Source organism: Homo sapiens, chromosome 15 (assembly GCF_000001405.40).
Source record: "Homo sapiens chromosome 15, GRCh38.p14 Primary Assembly".
Classification (NCBI taxonomy): Eukaryota; Metazoa; Chordata; class Mammalia; order Primates; family Hominidae; genus Homo; species Homo sapiens.
In genome coordinates, this window is record NC_000015.10 from 83,064,864 (window position 1) to 83,086,301 (window position 21,438).

At 44.7% G+C, this 21,438-nt stretch overlaps 1 protein-coding gene and 1 non-coding gene across 4 annotated transcripts in view, besides 6 other annotated features; one reads left to right on the forward strand and one right to left on the reverse strand.

Moving 5' to 3' along the window:
• Window positions 1-2,389, reverse strand: part of BTBD1 (BTB domain containing 1) — a 50,830-nt gene extending 48,441 nt beyond the window's left edge. For all 3 annotated transcript variants that reach the window (XR_007064459.1, NM_001011885.2, NM_025238.4), the window contains exon 1: window positions 1,888-2,389. Coding sequence is in view for 2 of the 3 variants with exons in the window: in NM_001011885.2 (NP_001011885.1) it covers window positions 1,888-2,288 (401 nt within the window). In the remaining variant the exon portion in view is untranslated. The remainder of the gene's footprint in view (window positions 1-1,887) is intronic.
• Window positions 1,707-1,876: a silencer, noted in NCBI's record as "silent region_6757". NCBI's record gives its function as "represses an Ori minimal core promoter by ATAC-STARR-seq in GM12878 lymphoblastoid cells {active_cell/tissue: GM12878}" and the evidence as "EXISTENCE:reporter gene assay evidence [ECO:0000049][PMID:35858748]".
• Window positions 2,117-2,596: a silencer, noted in NCBI's record as "silent region_6758". NCBI's record gives its function as "represses an Ori minimal core promoter by ATAC-STARR-seq in GM12878 lymphoblastoid cells {active_cell/tissue: GM12878}" and the evidence as "EXISTENCE:reporter gene assay evidence [ECO:0000049][PMID:35858748]".
• Window positions 2,472-2,552, forward strand: MIR4515 (microRNA 4515). The gene has a single exon (NR_039740.1). It is a non-coding gene; the product is annotated as a microRNA 4515 (primary transcript).
• Window positions 2,657-2,776: an enhancer, noted in NCBI's record as "active region_9969". NCBI's record gives its function as "activates an Ori minimal core promoter by ATAC-STARR-seq in GM12878 lymphoblastoid cells {active_cell/tissue: GM12878}" and the evidence as "EXISTENCE:reporter gene assay evidence [ECO:0000049][PMID:35858748]".
• Window positions 2,787-2,836: an enhancer, noted in NCBI's record as "active region_9970". NCBI's record gives its function as "activates an Ori minimal core promoter by ATAC-STARR-seq in GM12878 lymphoblastoid cells {active_cell/tissue: GM12878}" and the evidence as "EXISTENCE:reporter gene assay evidence [ECO:0000049][PMID:35858748]".
• Window positions 4,274-4,568: an enhancer, noted in NCBI's record as "tiled region #9115; HepG2 Activating non-DNase unmatched - State 9:DNaseU, and K562 Activating non-DNase unmatched - State 12:CtcfO". NCBI's record gives its function as "activates a minimal TATA promoter and a strong SV40 promoter by Sharpr-MPRA in HepG2 and K562 cells {active_cell/tissue: HepG2 | K562}" and the evidence as "EXISTENCE:reporter gene assay evidence [ECO:0000049][PMID:27701403]".
• Window positions 4,473-4,522: a silencer, noted in NCBI's record as "silent region_6759". NCBI's record gives its function as "represses an Ori minimal core promoter by ATAC-STARR-seq in GM12878 lymphoblastoid cells {active_cell/tissue: GM12878}" and the evidence as "EXISTENCE:reporter gene assay evidence [ECO:0000049][PMID:35858748]".

The window sequence follows — 21,438 nt, forward strand, 5'->3', positions numbered from 1 at the left end:
CCCCTTTATAAATGTAACTGAACTAAATTACAGAAAATATCAGAAACAAAGAATAAAGAAGAAAAAAAGGTACTTTCATCTCACTACTCCAGGTGACTTTGCTTAGCATTTTGGTATGTTTCCTTTTATCCCGGTCTCTAGGTATATGTTTGTTCCATGTCTTTTCACGTTGTAACCATGGTGCAGTTTCAAGTGCTATCCGTCATATTTAGTGACTGCATTATATCTCATCAAGTGAACCTACCACTGTTTAACCATTCCCTACAGCTGACTACTTCCTCACTACTATAAATAAAGCTGTAAATATTTTTGTATGCAATTTGCAATACTTGAATGCTTCTTACGTGTGGAAAGAAAATCTATAGCACCAAACTGTTTTCCAAAAGGGTTTTTACCACCATCTTTGTCAGAAAATGCTGTTCAGATGTTACCTTTAAATTTTTTGGTGGGATTAATGGAAGGAAAAAATACCACTGTCTTTTAATTTGCACTTCCTAATTACCAGCCAGGTAAAACATTCGTTAATTAGTTGTATTTTTTCTTTCTCTAAGTTATCTATCCTGTCCTTTATCCATTCGTCAATGGAATCTTATTATTTGTTTCTAGTTGTGTGAACTTTACATTCATTTTCTTGTTCATCTTTCTGATTCAACTGTGAACCTTTGTATCTAATTCTGTCCCACTGACCTGCCTGTTTTTGCTTCAGTACTACCCAAGACTCTGCCATTTTAATAACAACACGTTCTACTCAGGCAGCTATTTAAAACCATCTTAGTATAATGAAACAGACATGGTCTTCAGTGTGAGTTAGCTGTTTGTTACCTTGGGCAAGATACTTGACTCTTCTGGGCCTCAGTCCCATTTGTGAAATTGGGGTAAACAATTCTTACGCCTCCCTAACAGGATGGCTGTGATTAAAAGCTAGTAATGCCAAACAATCACCTTTTCATTAGATGTCAATCTACTATCCTCAAATAACCAACAAGCAAATTCTAACATCAAGGGAGGGATTCATTTATAAGCAAATGTGACCTTGTGTGTAGAAACACAAAGCAGGTAAAGCCTCACTTGTCTGTTTTCGTATTTACTTTCCTGGGTCTTGACAACTAATACGTTAATGAAAAACAAAAACAAAAACAAAAAAGTGGCCAGGCGCGGTGGTTCACGCCTGTAATCCCAGCACTTTGGGAGGCCGAGGTGGACGGATCGCTTGACCCCAGGAGTCCGAGACCAGCCTGGGCAACATAGTGAAACCCTCTCTCTACCAAAAATAAAAATAAAAAAAATTAGCCGGGCGTGGTGGCGCGTGCCTGTAGTCCCAAATACTCGGGAGGCTGAGGTCGGAGCATCACCTGAGCCCGGAGAGGTCGAGGCTGCAGTGAGCCATGATCGCGCTACAGCATTCCAGCCTGGGCAACAGAGCAAGACCTTGTCTCAAAAAAAGCGGGGGGAAGGGGGTGACAATAACCCCAAAACATCAGTCCTGCAAGATTTTTCAACTACTCTCTTCCCCCAAACAAAAACATAAAACTTCGCAAATGGGCAATCAGGACAACCTGATCTGCCCCTCTATCCTTGCCACTTGTCTAATTCTGAAGTCTGAGCGACAATCCATAATTGGAATGCGAAACGCCTTTCAATGGTAAAACGCACGCTTGCCTAATGAAGACACTAACGTTTAGTTGGCGACTGAGCCGTCCTGGTTCACAGATTTCGATTTCGACCCTCCGGAGCATCAACGGCTCGGGAGGAAACTGAGGCCCCGGGCGGGTCAGAAGAGCCCAGCCCAAGGTCATCCGGGAGTCCGGGTAGGCCGGGCCCCGGGGATCTCCCAGCCCGGCCCGGCCCGGCCCGGCCCGGCCCGGCCCGGCCCGCGCTGCCGCTCACCTCAGCAGCGCCAGGAAGGCTGCGGGCTCCACGTCCGGCAGCTCGATCTCGGCCGACGTGGTGGCCATGCCGCCGTTGAACATGGCGTCAAAGACGGCGCTGCCGGCCGCCAGCACGAAGCGGTGGGCGGGGATGCGCTGCGGGCCCCCAGCGGCGGCGGCGCCGCGACCCTTGCCCAGTACGAAGCGCACATCGCTCAGCAGCTCCGAGTTGAAGAGGAAGGCGAAGCGCTCCTTCAGCGACGCCTTGGTCGCCTGCCAGTTGTAGAGAGGTTCCCGCTGCAGGGGGAGCAGGGGCCCCAGAGAGGACGGTGAGGGCGGCGGCGGCGGCCCCGCGGGGCCCGGCTCCGCCTCAGCCCCCGACGCCTGCTCCCCAGCTGCGGCAGGCCCGAGTGAGGCCATCCTCCAGCTGCGCGGTTGCCCACGTTATGGACAAAACTCCGCCGCCATCGCCCAGGCCGCCTCCGGAGGCCGGCGCTGCCTCCCTGCCTTCCGGGAAAGGCGCTTCCGGGGGCCTCGCGCCTCCGCAGGCCCCTCCCTGACCGCGCGCGCCCCCGCACGCCCGGGTTGCCGCTGTGCGCGGCCGCGGGAGGTGTAACAGGACTGGACTCCCGGCAGCCCCAGGGCAGGGGCGTGGGGAGCTGGTCCTAGCTCAGCGCTCCCGGAGGTGGAGCTTCTGCAGGCTGGGTGCTGCCGGGCCTACGGGCACCCACCCCCTGGCTCAGTGCCCTGGGTATTCTGACTCAGTAGGTCTGGGGTAGGGCCTGAGAATTTGTAATTTTAAGATGCATCGTGGATCTGCAGGCGGCTCTCACGGCTGCCTTTTTCTTCCTGCAGGCCCCTTATCACCAAGTCCAGCGCCCCCATTGTGTATCTGGGACATGTCCCAAGGCCTGTCCCGAGGAGTGTTTTGCCTGGAAGTGGAGGGGCAGGAAAGTATGGCCAAGGGAACACGTGAGGGAGGGGATGACATGACTTCCCACAACCCTGTACCCCAAGCGTGGCCAAGTCGCCGCTCCAGAAGGCCGCGAAACCCGTGGAAATTCCGGAAGCAGAGGTGGAAGGCTTAGAACCCCAGTGACCTCTCCCCAGGTCCGCAGGTCCCTTTCCCTTCTAATTGACCCTTTGGTTCCGTCCTCTGGGCCTAAGAGACATTTCCTTCTACTGCTTCCACCCCTGTATTTGAAACCCCTCGTGCTTGCCCACCTTCTCTTGTAGCGCTTTTCAGTCCTTGCACTGAACCACTGCCTAAGCTTGAAATTTAAAAAATTAAAAACTAAAACACACACACAATGGAAAAGGCTGTATTATCCCTTCCCAGGCAGTATTTACAACCCGGTCATCATGATTGGGGGACCGAGGCCTTCCTTTTTCTCCCTTCAGTGAGGCAGGCCCTGAGTTAAGTCAGCTGTCAAAAGCAGAACGTAGAAAACCCAAGAAATAGTCCTTGACCAGGCACGTATAGTTGGAAACACCTGTTCTTTGCAGGAAGAGCCTTACAGATTACAAATGCCGTCAAGTAAATAGTAAACCCCAAACCTGGGTTTCTCCTGTAAAATCACTCCACTTGTGAAACCACCAGAGGGGACTTCCAGCTGTTAGGCATTTAGAATGGTAACTTCTTTGGGAGAGGAACGTGCTTGGGAAGAGACTTAAAGTAGTAGGGGCTGAAATAGTGGATGCACAACCCCTTCCCCATTGCCAGCCGGCAATTCCTAAAGACAAAGGGACATCATGCTACTAATGATACCATTATCACACCTAACAAAATTAACCATATCATCAAATCATCTATATATGATTTTTTTTTTTTTGAGACGGAGTCTCGCTCTGTTGCCAAAGCTGGAGTGCAATGGCATGAAGTCTGCCTTCCGGGCTCAAGCGATTCTCCTCCTCAGCCTCCCGAGTAGCTGGGGTTACAGGTGCGTGTCACCACATCCAGCTAATTATTTGTATTTTTAGTAGAGACGGGGTTTCACCATATTGGCCAGGCTCCTCTCCAAGTCCTGACCTCGTGATCTACCCGCCTCGGCCTCCCAAAGTGCTGGGATTACAGGCATGAGCCACCAGGCCTGGTCCTATGTATAATATTTAATGTACAGTTAATATTTGTTTCTCCACTTGTCTCTAAAAAAATTTTTTTTTGAGACGGAGTCTTGCTCTGTTGCCCAGGCTGGAGGGCAGTGGCATGATCTCCGCTCACTGCAAGCTCTGCCTCCCACGTTCACGCCATTCTCCTGTCTCAGCCTCCCGAGTAGCTGGGACTACAGGCACCTGCCACCAAGCCTGCTGATTTTTTTTTTTTTTTGTATTTTTAGTGTGTCCAGAGTTCGTTCCTTCTGGTGGGTTCGTGGTCTTGCTGACTTCAAGAATGGAGCTGTGGACCTTCCTGATGAGTTTTATAGCTCTTAAGATGGCAGGGACCCAAAGACTTCTTCTGAAGAGCAAAAGAACAAAGCCCTTATGTCATGGAAAGGAACCCCAACGGGTGGTTGCAGTCTCTGGGCGTGGGGGCAGGAGGGGAGGGGCCGGCGGGGGTGGGGGGGGTGGAGTCAGCTTTTACTTCCTTATTTGTCCCCGCCCATGTCCTGCTGATTGGTCCATTTTACAGAATGCTGATTGGTGCACTTTACAGAGTGCTGATTGGTCTATTTTACAGGGTGCTGATTGGTCCATTTTACGGAATGCTGATTGGTCCATTTTACAGAGTGCTGATTGGTCCACTTTACAGAGTGCTGATTGGTCCATTTTACAAACCTCTAGCTAGCCACAGAGTGCTGATTGGTGTGTTTTTACAGAGCACTGACTGGCACATTTTACAAACCACTTGTAAGACAGAAAAGTTCTTCAAGTCCTCACCCTACCCAGAAGTCCAGTTGGCTTCACCTGTCATTAGTAGAGACGGGGTTTCACCGTGTTAGCCAGGATGGTCTCAATCTACTGACCTTATGATCTGCCCACCTTGGCCTCCCAAAGTGCTGGGATTACAGGCATGAGCCACTGTGCCTGGCCAAAAATATCTTTCACAGATGACTTTTTTTCCAATCCAGGATCAAATCAATGTTCACATATTATTGACTGTGTTGACTTCTTTGAAGGTCCGGGGAATTGTGGAGTATAATGCTCCACAATCTGGATTTGTCTGGTGGATTCTGTATGATTCATGGTTAGATTCCAGGTTAAACATTTTAGGCAAGAATATGCTGGTGATGTTAAGTACTTCATTGCCTCACTTCAGAAAGCGTATGTTGGTGATGCTAAGCTTGATGACCTGGTGAGGCTGTGACTGTCAGATCCCTCCATTATGAAGGTGTATGATTCTTATGTAATAAGTAATCCATGAGGGTGATGCTCTGAGACTGTTTGACCAGTCTGTTTCCCCAAAAAGCTTTCACCTACTGATTTCAGTATCCATTGATGATTCAGAAAATTAATTCACTTACTACTTTTAAGTGTCATCCCAGGTATTCTAATGCAGGCCTTTCATAGATCACACTCTATAGTATACTATACTAGCTAGTTTAAAAGGAAAGAGATTAAAAAACATAGAATTGGACATAAGAAAGGATATATAAACATAATTGTGGAGTTTAAAAATATGAGTAATTCTATTAGTGGCTTTGAAAATATCAAAGGAATGTACTCGTCTAGAAAACCTGGACAATTCAATTATCTATACAGGACATTAAAACTTTCAAAATAATAACCTTCAGGGAAGACTGGTTCCAGATGAGCTCGTTAAACATGTTATTATTGTTTTAAAGGAAATGTTTAAAATAATACATGTTTGTTATAGAAGTAAGTAGACTTCCAGTTTCAGCCATAATGTACCAACTTGTCTAACCCTCCCACCAAAAACAACTATACAAGCTGGAGTGTGTGTGTGTGTGTGTGTGTGTGTGTGTGTGTGTAAACAACTGTTTGAAGGCATTGTTAAAGAAAAAAATTATTCTGGGCTGTTGCAGTGGCGCACGCCTGTAATCCCAGCACTTTGGAAGGACAAGGCAGGCAGATCACCTGAGGTTAGGGTTTGAGACCAGCCTGGCTAACATGGTGAAACCCCATGTCTACTAAAAATACAAAAATTAACCGGGTGTGGTGACATACGCCTGTAATCCCAGCTACTTGGGAGGCTGAGGCAGGAGAATCGTTTGAACCTGGGAGGCAGAGGTTGCAGGGAGCCAAGATCGTGCCGCTGCACTCCAGCCTGGGCAACAGAGCAAGACTCCATCTCAAAAAAAAAAAAAGAAGAAAGAAAAAAATTATTCTGACACTAGTTAAAATGGTAAGAAAGATTTTATTCAAGATGATTGCAGTGGAAGCATTGCAACAGGAGAGAGAGATCAGGCACAGTTCTGAAAACAACATCAACAGCTGGGCATTTATAGCCAATGAACAAAGTGAAGGGGGGTCAATGGGTGGAAAATTACTAAGATGATGCGTTAAGGGTGGGGAGATTCTTTCTAAGACTGGGTTGGGCAGGCCAAAGACAGGATATGGGCCAAGGTAGAGGCCTAGTTGAGAAAAAAGTCCTAAGGAGCCTGAATAAAAAGTTTGGTCAAGGGAGTTTTTGTCAATATTAAAGAATAACAGATGCTGGCCAGGCCCAGTGGCTCATGCCTGTAATTGCAGCACTTTGGGAGACCGAGGTGGGCAGATCACCTGAGGTTAGGAGTTTGAGACCAGCCTAGCCAACATGGTGAAACCCCATGTCTACTAAAAATACAAAAAAATTAGCCAGGCGTGGTGGGGGGCGCCTATAATCTCAGCTACTTGGGAGGCTGAGGCAGGAGAATTGCATGACCCCGGGAGGTGGAGGTTGTAGTGAGCTGAGACTGTGCCATTACACTCCAGCCTGGGCAACAAGAATGAAACTCCATCTCAAAAAATATATAAATAAATGAATTTTTTAAAAAAGAATAAAAGATGGCCGGGCACAGTGGCTCATACCTGTAATCCCAGCACTTTGGGAGGCTGAGGCAAGTGGATCATGAGGTCAGCCATTTAAGACCAGCCTGACCACGATGGTGAAACCCCGTCTCTACTAAAAATACAAAAATTAGCTGGGTGTGGTGGCAGGCGCCTGTAATCCCAGCTACTTGGGAAGCTGAGGCAGGAGAATTGCTTGAACCCGGGGGGTGGAGGTTGCAGTGAGCTGAGATTGCGCCACTGCTCTCCAGCCTAGGTGACAGAGTGAGACTCTGTCTCAAAAATAAAAAATAAAAAAAAAAATAAAGGATACAGATAAGACTTGAGGGATCAGGATCCTTAAAAGAAGTGTGTGAGATTCACTCCAACTTTTCCTCTGAAGGCATTTTCTAATTTGTTGCTTGTTTCCCAAGCAGAAAGAAATAAGGAGACAGAGTATGAGGCTGCCCAAGTAACTGGGGGAAAGTCCTGGAAATGAGGAAACTGCAGAGACATAAATCTAAAACTCTGCAAACAAATTCACTTCATGCTATTGGATAACTTCTAAGCTGCCCTGTGCAGGGAGAAACAATGGCAGCTGAGAGACTAAGAGTTAAGTAGAGACTTCTATGTGCTGCACAGTGCTGGAGAGATGGAGGCTATGGTTCAAGCTCCACCAGGATGGGAGAGCCTTGGCAAACACGAAACTTTTGGCTGAAATCCCATAGGGACATGCCCTAGAAAAAAGAATTATACTTTACTAGTAAGAACAAAATTCAATAGCTTAAAACTAATCCTTGACAGGTTCAAGGTGATCTGTTTGAAGACATATGTGTTGTCCTACACTTTTTCATCTACAATGTTGTCAAGAAAATTAAAAATTATGAGGCATATTGAAAACATGAGAGAGAGGGAGAGAGAGAGAAGATAATGGAATCAGTTCTATAGGATTCAGGTATTGAATTTATCAGACAAGGACTTTAAAATAACTATGATTGCACTTTGGGAGTCTGAGGGCAGGTGGATCACCTGAGGTAGGGAGTTTGAGACCAGCCTGGCCGGTATGGTAAAACCTTATCTCTACTAAAAATACAAAAAATTAGCTGGGCGTGGTAGTGGGTGCCTATAATCCCAGCTATTTGGGAGACTGAGGTGGGAGAATCGCTTGAACCTGGGAGGCGGAGGTCGCAGTAAGCCAAGATTGCACCACTGCACTCCAGCCTGGGCCTGACAGAGCGAGATCCCATCTCAAAAAAAAAAAAAATAAAAATAATAATAATAATAATAATAATAAATAAAATAACTATAATTACTGTATGAAAAAAATAGAAAAAAGATGAAGAATTTTACCAGAGAATTGGAATCTGTGCAGAAGGGTCAAATGGAGATCCTTGACCTGAAAAAGTACTATAACAAATTAATAACTAATTTGTGTTTAATAGAAAATTAGATATAGCAGAACAGAGAATTAATGTAACTGGAAGACAAGCCTGTAGAAAATGTTTAAATTGAAACACAGAGAGAAAAAAGCATAGAAAATACAGAAAACAGGCCAGGCACAGCAGCTCACACCTGTAATCCCAGCACTTTAGGAGCCCAAGACAGGCAGATTGCTTAAGGCCAGGAGTTTGAGACCAGCCTGGGCAACATGGCAAAGCTCCACCTTTACAAAAAATACAAAAATTAGCTGGGCATAGTGGTGTCCAACTGTAATCCCAGATACTCAGCTGGCTGATGCAGGAGAATCACTTGAACCCTGGAGGTGGAGGCTGCAGTGAGCCATGATCATGCCACTGCACTCCAGCCTGGGCAACAGAATGAGATCCTGTCTCAATAAAATAAATAAATAAATAGGAAACAACATATGTCTGTTAATTCTGTTAATCATGAGACAAAGTGAAAAGGACTAACATATGTATAATGGAGTCATAGAAGGATGATAGAGAATGAGGCAGAAGAGCATTTGAAAAAAATACTGGCTGGAAAATTTCCATACTGATGAAATATATCAAACTACAAGGAAATGTAAGCCTTTGCTACTCTTGCATTCTGCATATCTGCAGACTTAACACCACGTGGATGCCACCAAGGCTTATGGCTTGCATCCTCTGGATAGGCAGCCTGAGCAGCACCCAGGGCTGGAATGTAGGAAGCAGAGTCCAAAGGTGGCTGCAGGGCAGCAGCACCCCAGGCCTGGCCCCCAAAACATTCTGTCCTCCTAGACCCCTGGCCTGTGATGGGAGAGACAGACTTGAAGATTTCTGAAATGCCTTCAGGGACTTTTTCCATTGTCTTGACTATTAGCACCTGCCTCCCTTTTTTTTTTTTTTTTTTTTTTTTTTTTTTTTTTTTTTTTTTTTTTTTTTGTTAAAGACTGTCTCGCTCTGTTGCCAGGCTGGAGTGCAGTGGCATGGTCTTGGCTCACTGCAACCTCCACCTCCTGGGTTCAGGTTATTCTCTTGCCTCAGCCTACCAAGTAGCTGGGATTATAGGCATGTGCCACCATGCCCAGCTAATTTTTGTATTTTTAGTAGAGACGGGGTTTCACCATGTTGGCCAGGCTGGTCTTGAACTCCTGACCTTGTGATCTGCCCACCTTGGCCTCCCAAAGTGCTGAGATTACAGGCGTGAGCCACCACGCCTGGCCCGAGCACCTGCCTCCCTTTTATCTGTGATAATCTCTCTAACAAGTGGTGGCTCAGCTGTGCTCTTGGATTCCTCACCTGAAAATGTTCTTTCCTTCTGTACCACATGGCCAGGCTGAGAATTTTCCAAAGTTTTACTCTCTGCTTCCCTTTTAAGTTCCAATTTTAGATCATGCCTTGACTCCTATATCTGCTCATAATCTGTTAAAAGTAGCCACACCATGTCTTGGATGCTTTGCTGCTTAGAAATTTCTTCTACCAGATACCCTAGGTCATCACTCTGAAGTTCAGCCTTCCACAAAGTCCTAGTGCATGGACACAATGCAGCCACGTTATTTGCTATAGTTTAACAAGGGTGACCTTTGCTCCAGTTCCCAATAAGTGCCTCATTTCCAACTGAGACCTCATCAGCCTGGCCTTCATTGTTCATGTTTCTATCAGCATTTTGCCCACAACCACTTAACCAGTCTCAAAGTTTCAAACTTTCCCTTGTCTTCCTGTCTTCTTCTGAGCCCTCCAAACTCTTCCAACATCTTCCCATTACTCAGTTTTAAAACCACTTCCACATTTTCAGGTATCTTCCTAGTAACCCCCGACCCTTGGTACAAATTTTCTGTCCTAGTCCATTTGTGATGCTATAAAGGAGTACCTGATGCTACATAATTTATAAAGAAAAGAGGTTTATTTGGCTCACAGTTTTGCAGGCTGCTTCTACTCATGGTGGAAGGCAAAGGGGGCAGCTGGCATGTACAGATCACATGGTGAGAGAAGAAGCAAGAGAGAGGGGAGGAGGTGCCAGGCTCTTTCAATAATCAGTTCTAATGAGAACTAAGAGTGAGAATTCACTTACTCCCATGAGAATAGCACCAAGACATTTATGTCGGACCTGCCCTGTGATCCAAACACTTCCCATCAGGCCTCACCTCCAACACTGGGGATCACATTTCAACACGAGATTTGGTGGGGCCAAACAAACCACATCCAAACCACAGCAGATAACAGTGCAGGATTATTTGTGATAATAGAACATTGGAATAGGCTGAGTGCAGTGGTTCATGCTTGTAATTCCAGCACTTTGGAAGGCCGAGGTGGGCAGATCGCCTGAGGTCAGGTGTTTCTTTTCTGTCTGAGCTGTATCAGACATTCAGAGAACTGCTACAAATTTGTGCCCTATAGGCCAGGTGTGGTGGCTCACGCCTGTAATCCTAGCACTTTGGGAGGCCGAGGCGGGTGGATCATGAGGTCAGGAGATCAAGACCATCCTGGCTAACACGGTGAAACCCCGTCTCTACTAAAAATACAAAAAAAATTAGCCAGGCTTGGTGGCGGGTGCCTGTAGTCCCAGCTACTCGGGAGGCTGAGGCAGGAGAATGGCATGAACCCAGGAGGCGGAGCTTGCAGTGAGCAGAGATCGTGCCACTGCACTCCAGCCTGGGTGACAGAGCAAGACTCTGTCTCAAAAAAAAAAAAAAAAAAATATTGTGCCCTACAAACAAGGAATCTGATAAGTTCTATTTTGTGTGATTCCTGTCACACAAGGGTATGGTTATAATCAATAAATTATCAAGAATGTTCCTGAAAGGAGAAGACTTCTGTTTTCACCAAGTGTTAATGAGAATCAAATCTTTTGTTTACAACTTTATACTTTGAAGGATTTTCCATAGACTAGCTTCTGGTGCTATGTATTTTTATTTTTATTTTATATATTTTTGCAGAAAGAGTCTCGATCTGTCACCCAGGCTGGAGTGCAGTGGTGTAATCTCAGCTCACTGCAACCTCTGCCTCCCGGGTTCAAGCAATTCTTGTGCCTCAGCCTCCCGAATAGCTGGGACTACAGGCATGTGCCACCACACCTGGTTAATTTTTTGTATTTTTGTAGAGACAGGTTTCACCATGTTGCCCAGGCTGGTCTCAAACTCCTGAGCTCAGGCAGTCCGCCCTCCTCAGCCTCCTAAAGTGCTGGGATTAGAAAAACATAAAGTAAAAATAAAAATAAAACAAAATAAAATTAAAAAGAAACACAAACTGAGAAGAATGTTTGCATGATTTATGACAAAGGCATGATATCCTTAATATATAAAGAGCCTTTACAAATCAATAGGACAAATACTCTTTCTTTTTTAATGGACAAAAGACACAAACAGGGAACTCACAGAAGTATAACCTCTCTGAAGAGCAATTCATAAATGTGCCCACAGTTTAAAACCTACATATCTTTTGTTCCAGTAATTCTACCTATGGTATCCTAAAGAAATAAGAGCTGGGTGTAGAGTTAAAAGCAACAATAACAAAGATATCAAAGCATTATAATATTTTTTAAAATAGAAACAACTTAGATCAGTGGTTAACTAAATTATGGTATAATCAATCATATGATGGAATGATAAATATCTGTTGAAAAAATTCTATTGATGTGAAAAAATATTCTCAACCCATAATGCTAAGTAAAAACAGGCTACAGAACGAGACGTGTAGCATATCATTTTGTCTTTTGGGCTCAGAGTATACCATTTTGTTTTAAATGCCACATACACACACACATATATGTGTATAAAGAGACAAAGTAGGACCACTGTTATCAATTTGATATATTGCAGGATAATGGGAATGTGGGTGATTTCCCCCACTTTCTATTACTTTTCTTTTCTTTTTTTTTTTGTGAGATGGAGTCTCGCACTGTTGCACGGGCTGGAGCGCAATGGTGCAATCTCCGCTCACTGCAACCTCCGCCTCCTGGGTTCAAGCGATTCTCCTGCCTCAGCCTCCTGAGTAGCTGGGATTACAGGTGACTGCCACCACACCCGGCTAATTTTTTGTATTTTTAGTAGAGACGGGGTTTCACTATGTTGGCCAGGCTGGTCTCGAATTCCTGACTTTGTGATCTGCCCATCTCAGCCTCCAAATCTATTACCTTTCTTATTTTAGAGAAAGAGGTTTTTTTTTTCTTTTTTAAATAAAAACACTGTGAGATTTGACTATATACAAATTTTGAATTATCCAACTGGTCAACTATAGCAGGGACTCTAGGCATGTCTATGCCATAGAATGCAGTTTGTTTCCTTGACTTCCTCTGAAATGCTGTTAGGTTTCACCTTTCATTTGATTAAATGCAATTTAATTCAGTTCGATGCTCATTGCAAGGCAGTTAGAGGTGAGATTCCAAAGATGACTAGAAAATGTTACTCACCCTGAAGAAGCTTATAATTTAGTAGAAAAGGGGGAAGCCCACTGAAGCCTGCTCAGCTAGAAATAAAACTCTTGATGTTTGGTGGATTTGAAAAAATAAAAATGCAGCAGCAAAGGCAATTTGTCATACCCTAGACTAAATTCAGCTTACGTTGGAGCTCTTCTTTCTTTGCTTGTCATTGCTTTCTGGAATCCAGCCTAGGAAAGTAATATATGTCACCATGTGTGCTAGTTTATAATTAGAACAAATGTGAGGACTTATAAGAAAAAGACCTATTGGCAAAAAACATTGAGTAAAATTCTAGAAAAGGCAGTCAGGAGAAAGAAGAAGGAAGAAATCTATTTTGGAAAATAATTTAATGCCAAAGAAAGATAAGACATTTAAAAAGCATAAAAGGCAATTATTATGCCCTTAGGATTTTTATATTTCAGCGAGTGCATGAAAATATAGCTGCTATTGAATTACCCTCTATTTGAAAGGATGAGTATTGTAGGTATAAATAGAAGCTAAGGTCAAGAAGCCAAAGGCAGAAAAAGACTCACACATCCAGCAGAGACCGATAAGCATGTAAAATAATATCCTCTATTCATAAGGCTGCGATTATGCCCATGACCCGACTTTGAGCTCCAGGAAAGAAGTGCAGGATAAAAGCCAGGGGTCCCAACATTGCCCTTCCTACAAATCTTTTTTTGTTTTGTTTTGTTTTGAGATGGAGTCTCACTCTGTTACCCAGGCTGGAGTACAGTGGCACGACCTCAGCTCACTGCAACCTCTACCTCCCAGGTTCAAGCGATTCTCCTGCCTCAGCCTCCCAAGTAGCTGGGACCACCAGTGCCGGTGCGCGTCACCAAGCCTGGCTAATTTTTGTATTTTTAGTAGAGACGGGGTTTCACCATGTTGCCCAGACTGGTCTTGAACTCCTGACCTGAGGTGATCTGCCCACCTCAGCCTCCCAAAGTGCTGGGATTATAGATGTGAGCCACTGTGCCCGGCTCCTTCCTATAAATCTAAAACCCGCTCCAGCATTCAACACACTTTACTGTAACACTAACACACAGTAGAGTCTGATTTCTAAGATCTCTGAGCCCATAGGGTTAATTTCTCCCAATACTTCCCCTTTTTTCAACTGAGAATTCACACTTTTCAGAAAGATGTGTTTGACCTAAGCCCCAAAACCCAACACTCCCTCTTTCTCCAAGATCTAGAGTTTCTGAGAAGCCTTTCCCAGAGGCATGGCCCTAGGAATTAAACAAGCGAACAAACAGAAAAAGGGTCACCCCTAGTGTGAAGCAGCTTGATCCCCCCATCTTTCCACCCCGTCTCCCCATGGTGCAGACCGCCCCCATCTCAGATTTCCCACCATCTGCCTGCCACGCTCAGCACAGAGCCGCTCAGCCTTCCTTCTCTGCTGTCCTGTCTTCGACCATCCCCTTGCCCATCCCCTCTGTCTCAGGCTCCTATCCCAGCTGTCTGTGCCCAGCCACATTCACTGATGGCTCCCCCACTGTGCCACACTCCATTGAGTGGCAGTGCTAAGTGAGTTTGCTGCCTCTTCTTCATCCTTCTCTGAGAGGTTCTCTTCTTTATACGTCACTCCCATGACTCAATGGTCAGACCTTTTCTTCAAGAAGAGGATAAAAAAGGGACCAGGTGTGGTGACTCACGCCTGTAATCCCAGCGCTTTGGGAGGCAGAGGCAGGTGGATCACTGGAGGTCAGGAGTTCGAGATCAGCCTGGCCAACATGGCGAAACCCCGTCTCTACTAAAAATACAAAAATTAGCTGGACATGGTGGTGCACACCTGTAGTCCCAGCTACTCAGGAGGCTGAGGGAGGAGAATTGCTTTAACCTGGGGGCGGAGGTTGCAGTGAGCCAAAATTGTGCCACTACACTCTAGGCTGGGCGACAGAGGAGACTCCGTCTCAAGAAAAAGATGAGTGGAAAGAAGGACCTGTCAGTTCCCCAGGTCCACTCAGGTTCTCTCAGTTCGCTAGCTCTTTTTCAGACACGCCTCATCTGCATGTTAGAGTAAATATCTCTGTTCTGCCTCACCTGGGAGCCACTCTTCTGGGCTTGAGTAAGAATTTATTTAATAGCTGATACACAATTTTAGTCTGTGACCCATCTGAGGGATGGGCGACACGTCTACCCATCCTAAACAGATTCTTGGCACCTTTTCCCTGATGAATTCGACATGTGGGTGGGAACAGGAGATACTGTCTATCTGTGCCCTTTATCTTTTTGGATTGAAGAGGTGGAAAATTCCTGTTCCTAGGTTCCTTGAGGCAATAACGTTCCTTCGGATCCAGTTTTCTTGGGATGACTGGAGGAAGCTGAGGTTTGTAGCTTCCAAAGAGCCTTGGTTTCTTAACCCAAGCATCTGTTGCACTGGCTGGCACCAGGGTTCTAGGCATGGTTTATATTTACTTCCATCCCACCATTTTTCTTACAAACTCCAGATCCCACGATGCTCTCATGGACTCCCTGAATGTGTCATCTTATATCAAAATTTCTCCTCCTTTCTTCTGGCCCTGTGAGAGTATGCCTCTGCTTGGACCAGTAGAACTGAACTAAATGTTGGTTCGTATTTAAGTAAATTATGTCCAGCGGCTTGTTACATAAAGAGGAGTGTGGAGGGGAGATTGATTTGTTAATGAAATGGAAATAGAAGGCAGGACAGCTTATTTAGAAGCAACAATAATACCAATAAGCATATTTACTTAACGTATTGAGGTCATTATTTTTGGTCATCCCTCCTCCTCCTCCTCCTCTTCTTCCTCCTCCTCCTTTTGACATTACACTTATTTTTTTACACATTTCTCTTTCAAAAATTCCATTTTTTTTTTTGAGACGGAGTCTTGCTCTGTCACCCAGGCTGGAGTGCAGCTGTGCGATCTCAGCTCACTGCAACCTCCGCCTCCCAGGTTCAAGCAATTCTGCCTCAGCCTCCGGAGTAGCTGGGATTACAGGTGCATGCCACCACACCGGCTAATTTTGTATTTTTAGTAGAGACAGGATTTCACCATGTTGCTCAGGCTGGTCTTGAACGCCTGGCCTCAAGTGATCCGCCCACTTCAGCCTCCCAAAGCACTGGGATTCCAGGCATGAGCTACCGTGCCCAGCCCAGGAGGCTGAGGTGAAAAGATTGCTTGAGCCTGGGAGGTGGAGGTTGTAATAAGCTGAGATCATGCCACTGCACTCCAGTCTGAGAGACAGAGCAAAATCCTGTCTCAAAAAAAAAAAAAAAGATTCATTCAAATTTCAGAGATGTTAAAATGTAAAGAAATATACATTTATAATTCATAAAATACACTACACGTAAGCTATTCTGCACACTATAGTATTTTTTAATTTTTCTTGTTTTACTGTATGTTTTTCTTTGTAGATTTCTTTCATTTTCTGAATGTTTCTCAAATTAGACTTGTTTTGCTGATTGATTTTCTACCATGTCAATTTTGATTTCCACTTCTAATGATGACTTTAAAGAGTCTATCATAGATTTTTTTATAACAAATTTTTTTTAAATCTTGGCCTTCTTGCTCTTGGGTGTATGCTCCCTTTATCTCTTTTATAAATGATGAACCTCACACAAGAAATCCAAATGTGAAAGGCATAAAAAAATCTTATAGGTGAAATCATAGGACACATTGGAGTAGGCAAAAATTTCTTAAAAAGGAAATAAAAAGCTTTAACTGTAAAAGAAAAAAACTATAAATTAGGCTATATTAAAATGAAGAACCTCTGTTTATCAAAGATGTCAATCAAGAGAAGGAAAAGGCATACCATCGTCTTGGAAAAGATCTTTATCGATAAAGGTCTGGCAACCAGAATGTTTAAATTGTTAAAAGAAAGGAAGCCAATCAAGCAGAAAATGGGCAAAAGACAAGCACTTCATTAAAGAGGTATTCAAATAGCCAATAAGTACACAAAAAGATCTTCAACATAATGAGTCATCAAGGAAATGCAAATTAAAGCCACAATGAGATACCACTACACCAGAACCACAATAGCTAAAAATTAAATGGCTGACAATAACGAGTGTTGTCAAAGACATAGAACAATCAGGACACTCATACTCTCCTGGTGGGAGTATAAATTTGTGCAACCATTTTGGAAAATTGTTTGGCATTATCACCTATAGATGAACATAAATATAATCTGTGACCTAGGGATATTCCCAAAAGAAATATGCACCTGTGTTCACCAAAAGACATGTCCAAATATGTTCACAAGAGTATCATTTGTAATAAAAACTAAAAACTATTGAAGTGTTCATCTTCAGTAGAAAATAGAAATTGTGGTATATTCACACAGAGGAATACTAAACAGCCATGAAAATGAGCCATGAAATGCAACATCACAGATGAATATCACAAACATAATATTGGATAACAGGAGCCAGATCCCAAAGAGTGTGTACTATATATATAAAGTGCAAAAACAAGAACCTAATCTATGGTGTCAGAAGGCAAGGTATGGAAACGACAAGAGGTGGGCTTCTGGGTGCTGTCACTGTTCTATTTCGGGGTCTGAATATCGCTACTGAGGCAGCTCCTTATGTCCAACATCTCTTTGTGTGTTTTCAAGAGCTATCCACTTTTGCAAATTGACTGAGCTATACACTTCAGGATTCATGCACCTTTCTGTGTATATGTTAGACTTTATTGAAGTTTCAAAAAAAGAACTGGAGATTTGTTCTTTAAATTCTTGCATTTCTTCTGGAAGATTTAGTTAAGAGATATTCCTTAGGCTCTTATTGCTTTTTGCTGTCAATGTCCTTAAATTACTTTTTGCTTGCTTGAGTAACGATGACAATATTTGTGCACACAATAAAGTGATGTATTTGATTTCCCTCTTTTTTTTTTTTTTGAGACGGAGTTTCACTCTTGTTGCCCAGGCTGGAGTGCAATGGCACAATCTCAGCTCACCTCAACCTCTGCCTCCTGGGTTCAAGCGATTCTTCTGCCTCAGCCTCCCGAGTAGCGGGGATTACAGGCATGCGCCACCACGCCCGGCTAATTTTATATTTTTAGTAGAGACAGGGTTTCTCCATGTTGGTCAGGCAGGTCTCAAACTCCTGACCTCAGGTGATCCGCCCACCTTGGCCTCCCAAAGTGCTGGGATTACAGGCGTGAGCCACCGCGCCCAGCCTTGATTTCCCTCTTAATATTCCTGTGCAGCTTTCCTCCTATAAGACAGAAGGCTTATCTTGCCAGAGCAGGAAAGAGTGAATATTTGGCTTCCTTATCAAGGTGATTGGTTTAACATTAGGGTGGCCAGGGAGAAGGGCTGGTGTTTGCTCCCAAGCCTCTTTTAGCTCCCAGGAATGCAGAATGAAGAGCCATGGACCTGCTGGGAGAGGGTGAGGTGACCCTATTGCTCGACCTCCTGGTCAGGGGCCAGATGGACAATGTGGCAGTGATTCAGTGGAGCTCATGGGGTCAGTGAAAGCCAAGGTGAGGCTGAGCCAGCTGGAGAGTGGCCCTTTGGCTCTGACCGAGAGGAACAAAGCTGGTTAGACCAACTGCAGAGATTAGCTGTGGACCCCAGAACACCAGGGCCAGGTCCAACTGCCCCTCAGTGATCACCAGGCTGCACATACCAAAGGGCCAACACGAGGCCAAGGGAGGCTTCTAAACCCACAATATCTCAAAGTGACATCGGCCCCTTCTCTGTAGACCCAGATGCTACCTTAGAGATAAGCTGGAAGTGGAGAGAGGAATCAGGCTGAGACATTTTGCTTATGGGGTAGCCTTACTTAAATGGATTGGTTACATTCTTGTCTTTGACTAATTGCAGTGGGATAGACTGAAATACATTTTTTCCCTGTTACCTAGTGGGTGGGACCTGGTAAGATCAGATCACTTGGCCAGGCACAGTGGCTCACGCCTGTAATCCCAGCACTTTGGGAGGCCGATGCCGGCAGATCCCGAGGTGAGGAGATTGAGACCATCCTGGCTAACATGGCAAAACCCCATCTCTACTAAAAATACAAAAAATTAGCCGGGCGTAGTGGCCAGTGCCTGTAGTCCCAGCTACTCAGGAGGCCAAGGCAGGAGAATGGCATGAACCCAGGAGGCAGAACTTGCAGTGAGCAGAGATCGTGCCACTGCACTCCAGCCTGGGCAATAGAGCAAGACTCCGTCTCAAAAAAAAAAAAAAAAAAAAGAAAAGATCAATCACTTAACAGAGAAATAAAACATTTCTTCAGCACTTCTGAGTATGGCGTGAATAAATTTGCAGCCTTCTTTCTTTCTCTTGTTTATTTTTCCTTGATTTTCCCACCTTGCAGACTTTTGTTACTGTTGAAAGTAGTTTATGATAGAAAGTTTTGTATATATTTGAATAGAATAACTTGAGAAGAAAGCTCCTGGCGTTGGAACTCCCCACAATATTTTATTTAGTAGTTAAACAATTTTTATAATTTCTCTTACTTTTTCACTCTATTCATTGTCTAATCATCTATCCACCCACCCAAGCAATAGCCATTTTGTTGGAGCTATGCATCGGGTATTCAGCTAGAAGATGAGTAAGACCGTCCTTGCCATAAGATTTTGAATACAGAGAATGAGCAGGTAGCAAACACTGTTCCCTATTCCCTCCTGCACACATCCACATGGGCTTATTTTCAATGTCAGTGTCTAGGCATTTTAATTACCAGGCATTGTTCTAGGTCCTGGGTTTCTGAGTCTTTTGACACAACGGCAGTGGTCTTTGAGCACTTCCTTGATTTGTAGTATGCCAAGAGGTATATCTCCTCCCCCAGACCTGGAATCAGCCCTTTCTCCCAGGACCATTTGTTCCCTTCAGTGGGAAATATATCTAGAAACCAGAATGTGGCCCCAGGGGAGCTCATTTCTTCTGTGCTCATGATTTTTTTCTAGGACTTCTCAATGGATAAGAGCTGAGATGGTGAATATTAGGGGAGGAGATATAGTAGGAGATGAAGAAAAAACTACTTTCTCTAGGTCATTTTTCTATTTTCAATAGAAAAAATTTTCTATTATCAATCATTTAGTGTATATATATATATTTTTTGAGACAGAGTCTCTCTCTGTTGCTCATGCTGGAGTGCAGTGGCATGATCTCGGCTCACTGTAACCTCCACCTCCTGGGTTCAAGCAATTCTCCTGCCTCAGCCTCCCGAGTAGCTGGGTCTACAGGCGTGCACCACCATGCCCAATTGATTTTTGTATTTTTAGTAGAGACGAGGTTTCACCATGTTGGCCAGGATGGTCTCTATCTCTTGACCTTATGATCCGCCCGCCTTGGCCTCCCAAAGTTCTGGGATTATAGGTATGAGCCACCACGCCCAGCCTAGTTTATATTTTTGATTTTAATAACTAATACATCTGTTAAAATACCTTTATAGTTACTATAGATGTATAATACATCTGTTAAAATACCTTTATAGTTGCTACAGATGTATAGTACATCTGTTAAAATACCTTAAGAGTTGCTACTGAACGCATCGTGGCATTGCCAGTCTGGGTGAGGTAGGTTGCTGCCATACCTTCCCATGAGTTACAACCTGGGTGCCCGTGCCTAACTCTGATCTTCTGGTTCCTGTGCCAAGGTTCCCACCAGAGATGGAGGGTGACAGTGGTTGCTGGGCAGGAGTTGGGGAGACGGGCCAAGTGAGGCCCAAGGCACCAGGGGGTAGGAAGCAAGTGGCTTGGGTTGGTCCCTGGGAAGTGGGGAGGCAGCAGGAGGTGGGACCCTCCATGAGCCAGGGTGCAAGCTCCAGTGCATGCCCTGTTGTTTCATCAGACTTCACTTACAACACACAGATTCAAAGATCAAATTACTAAGGGCCAGGCACAGTGGCCCACACCTGTAATCCTGCACTTTGGGAGGCCAAGGTGGGCGGATCACTTGAGGTCAGAAGTTCGAGACCAGCCTGGCCAATGTGGGGAAACCCCGTTTCTACTAAAAATACTAAAATTAGCCAGGTGTGGTGGCACACACCTGTAGCCCCAGCTACTTGGGAGACTGAGGCAGGAGAATCACTTGAACCTGGGAGGCAGAGGTTGCAGTGAGCCAAGATCACACCATTGCACTCCAGCCTGGTGACAGAGCGAGACTCCGTCTCAAAAAAAAAGAAGATAAAATGAGTAAGAATTTTTCAAGATGGCAACTGCAAAGCACTAAACCTCAAATAGGGGGCTCTCCAGAGCACAGGGCCCTGTGAGACTGCACCTGTCCTATGTCCATGAAGCAGTCCCTGTCTATACAGTACGTGGTAGAAGTTTTTAGAATATGGTCTGGGGTCCTGAGGATCATGGAGACCCTTCAAGTGATTTGTGAGATCAAAAGCATTTTCATAAAAATACTAAGACATTTTTGCCTTTTTTACTCTCATTGTCTCAGGAGCGTGCAGTGGGGTTTTCCAAAGGCTACTTGACTTGCGATACTGAAACAGATGGAATGCAGAAGCAGAGAATCCTGCTGTCTCCTATTAAGCCAGACATTGAAGAGTTTGTTTTTTTGTGTGTTTTTTGTTTTCATTTTTTTTGTTTGTTTTTTGAGACGGAGTCTCACTCTGTTGCCCAGGCTGGAGTACAGTGGTGCAATCTCAGCTCACTGTAACCTCTGCCTCCCAGGTTCAAGCAATTCTCCTGCCTCAGCTTCCTGAGTAGCTGGGATTATAGGCGCATGCCACCACACCCAGCTAATTTTTGTATTTTCAGTAGAGACGGGGTTTCACCATGTTGGCCAGACTGGTCTCGAACTCCTGACTTTAGGTAATCTGCTCGCCTTGGGCTCCCAAAGTGTTGGGATTACAAGCGTGAGCCACTGCACCCAGCCTTTT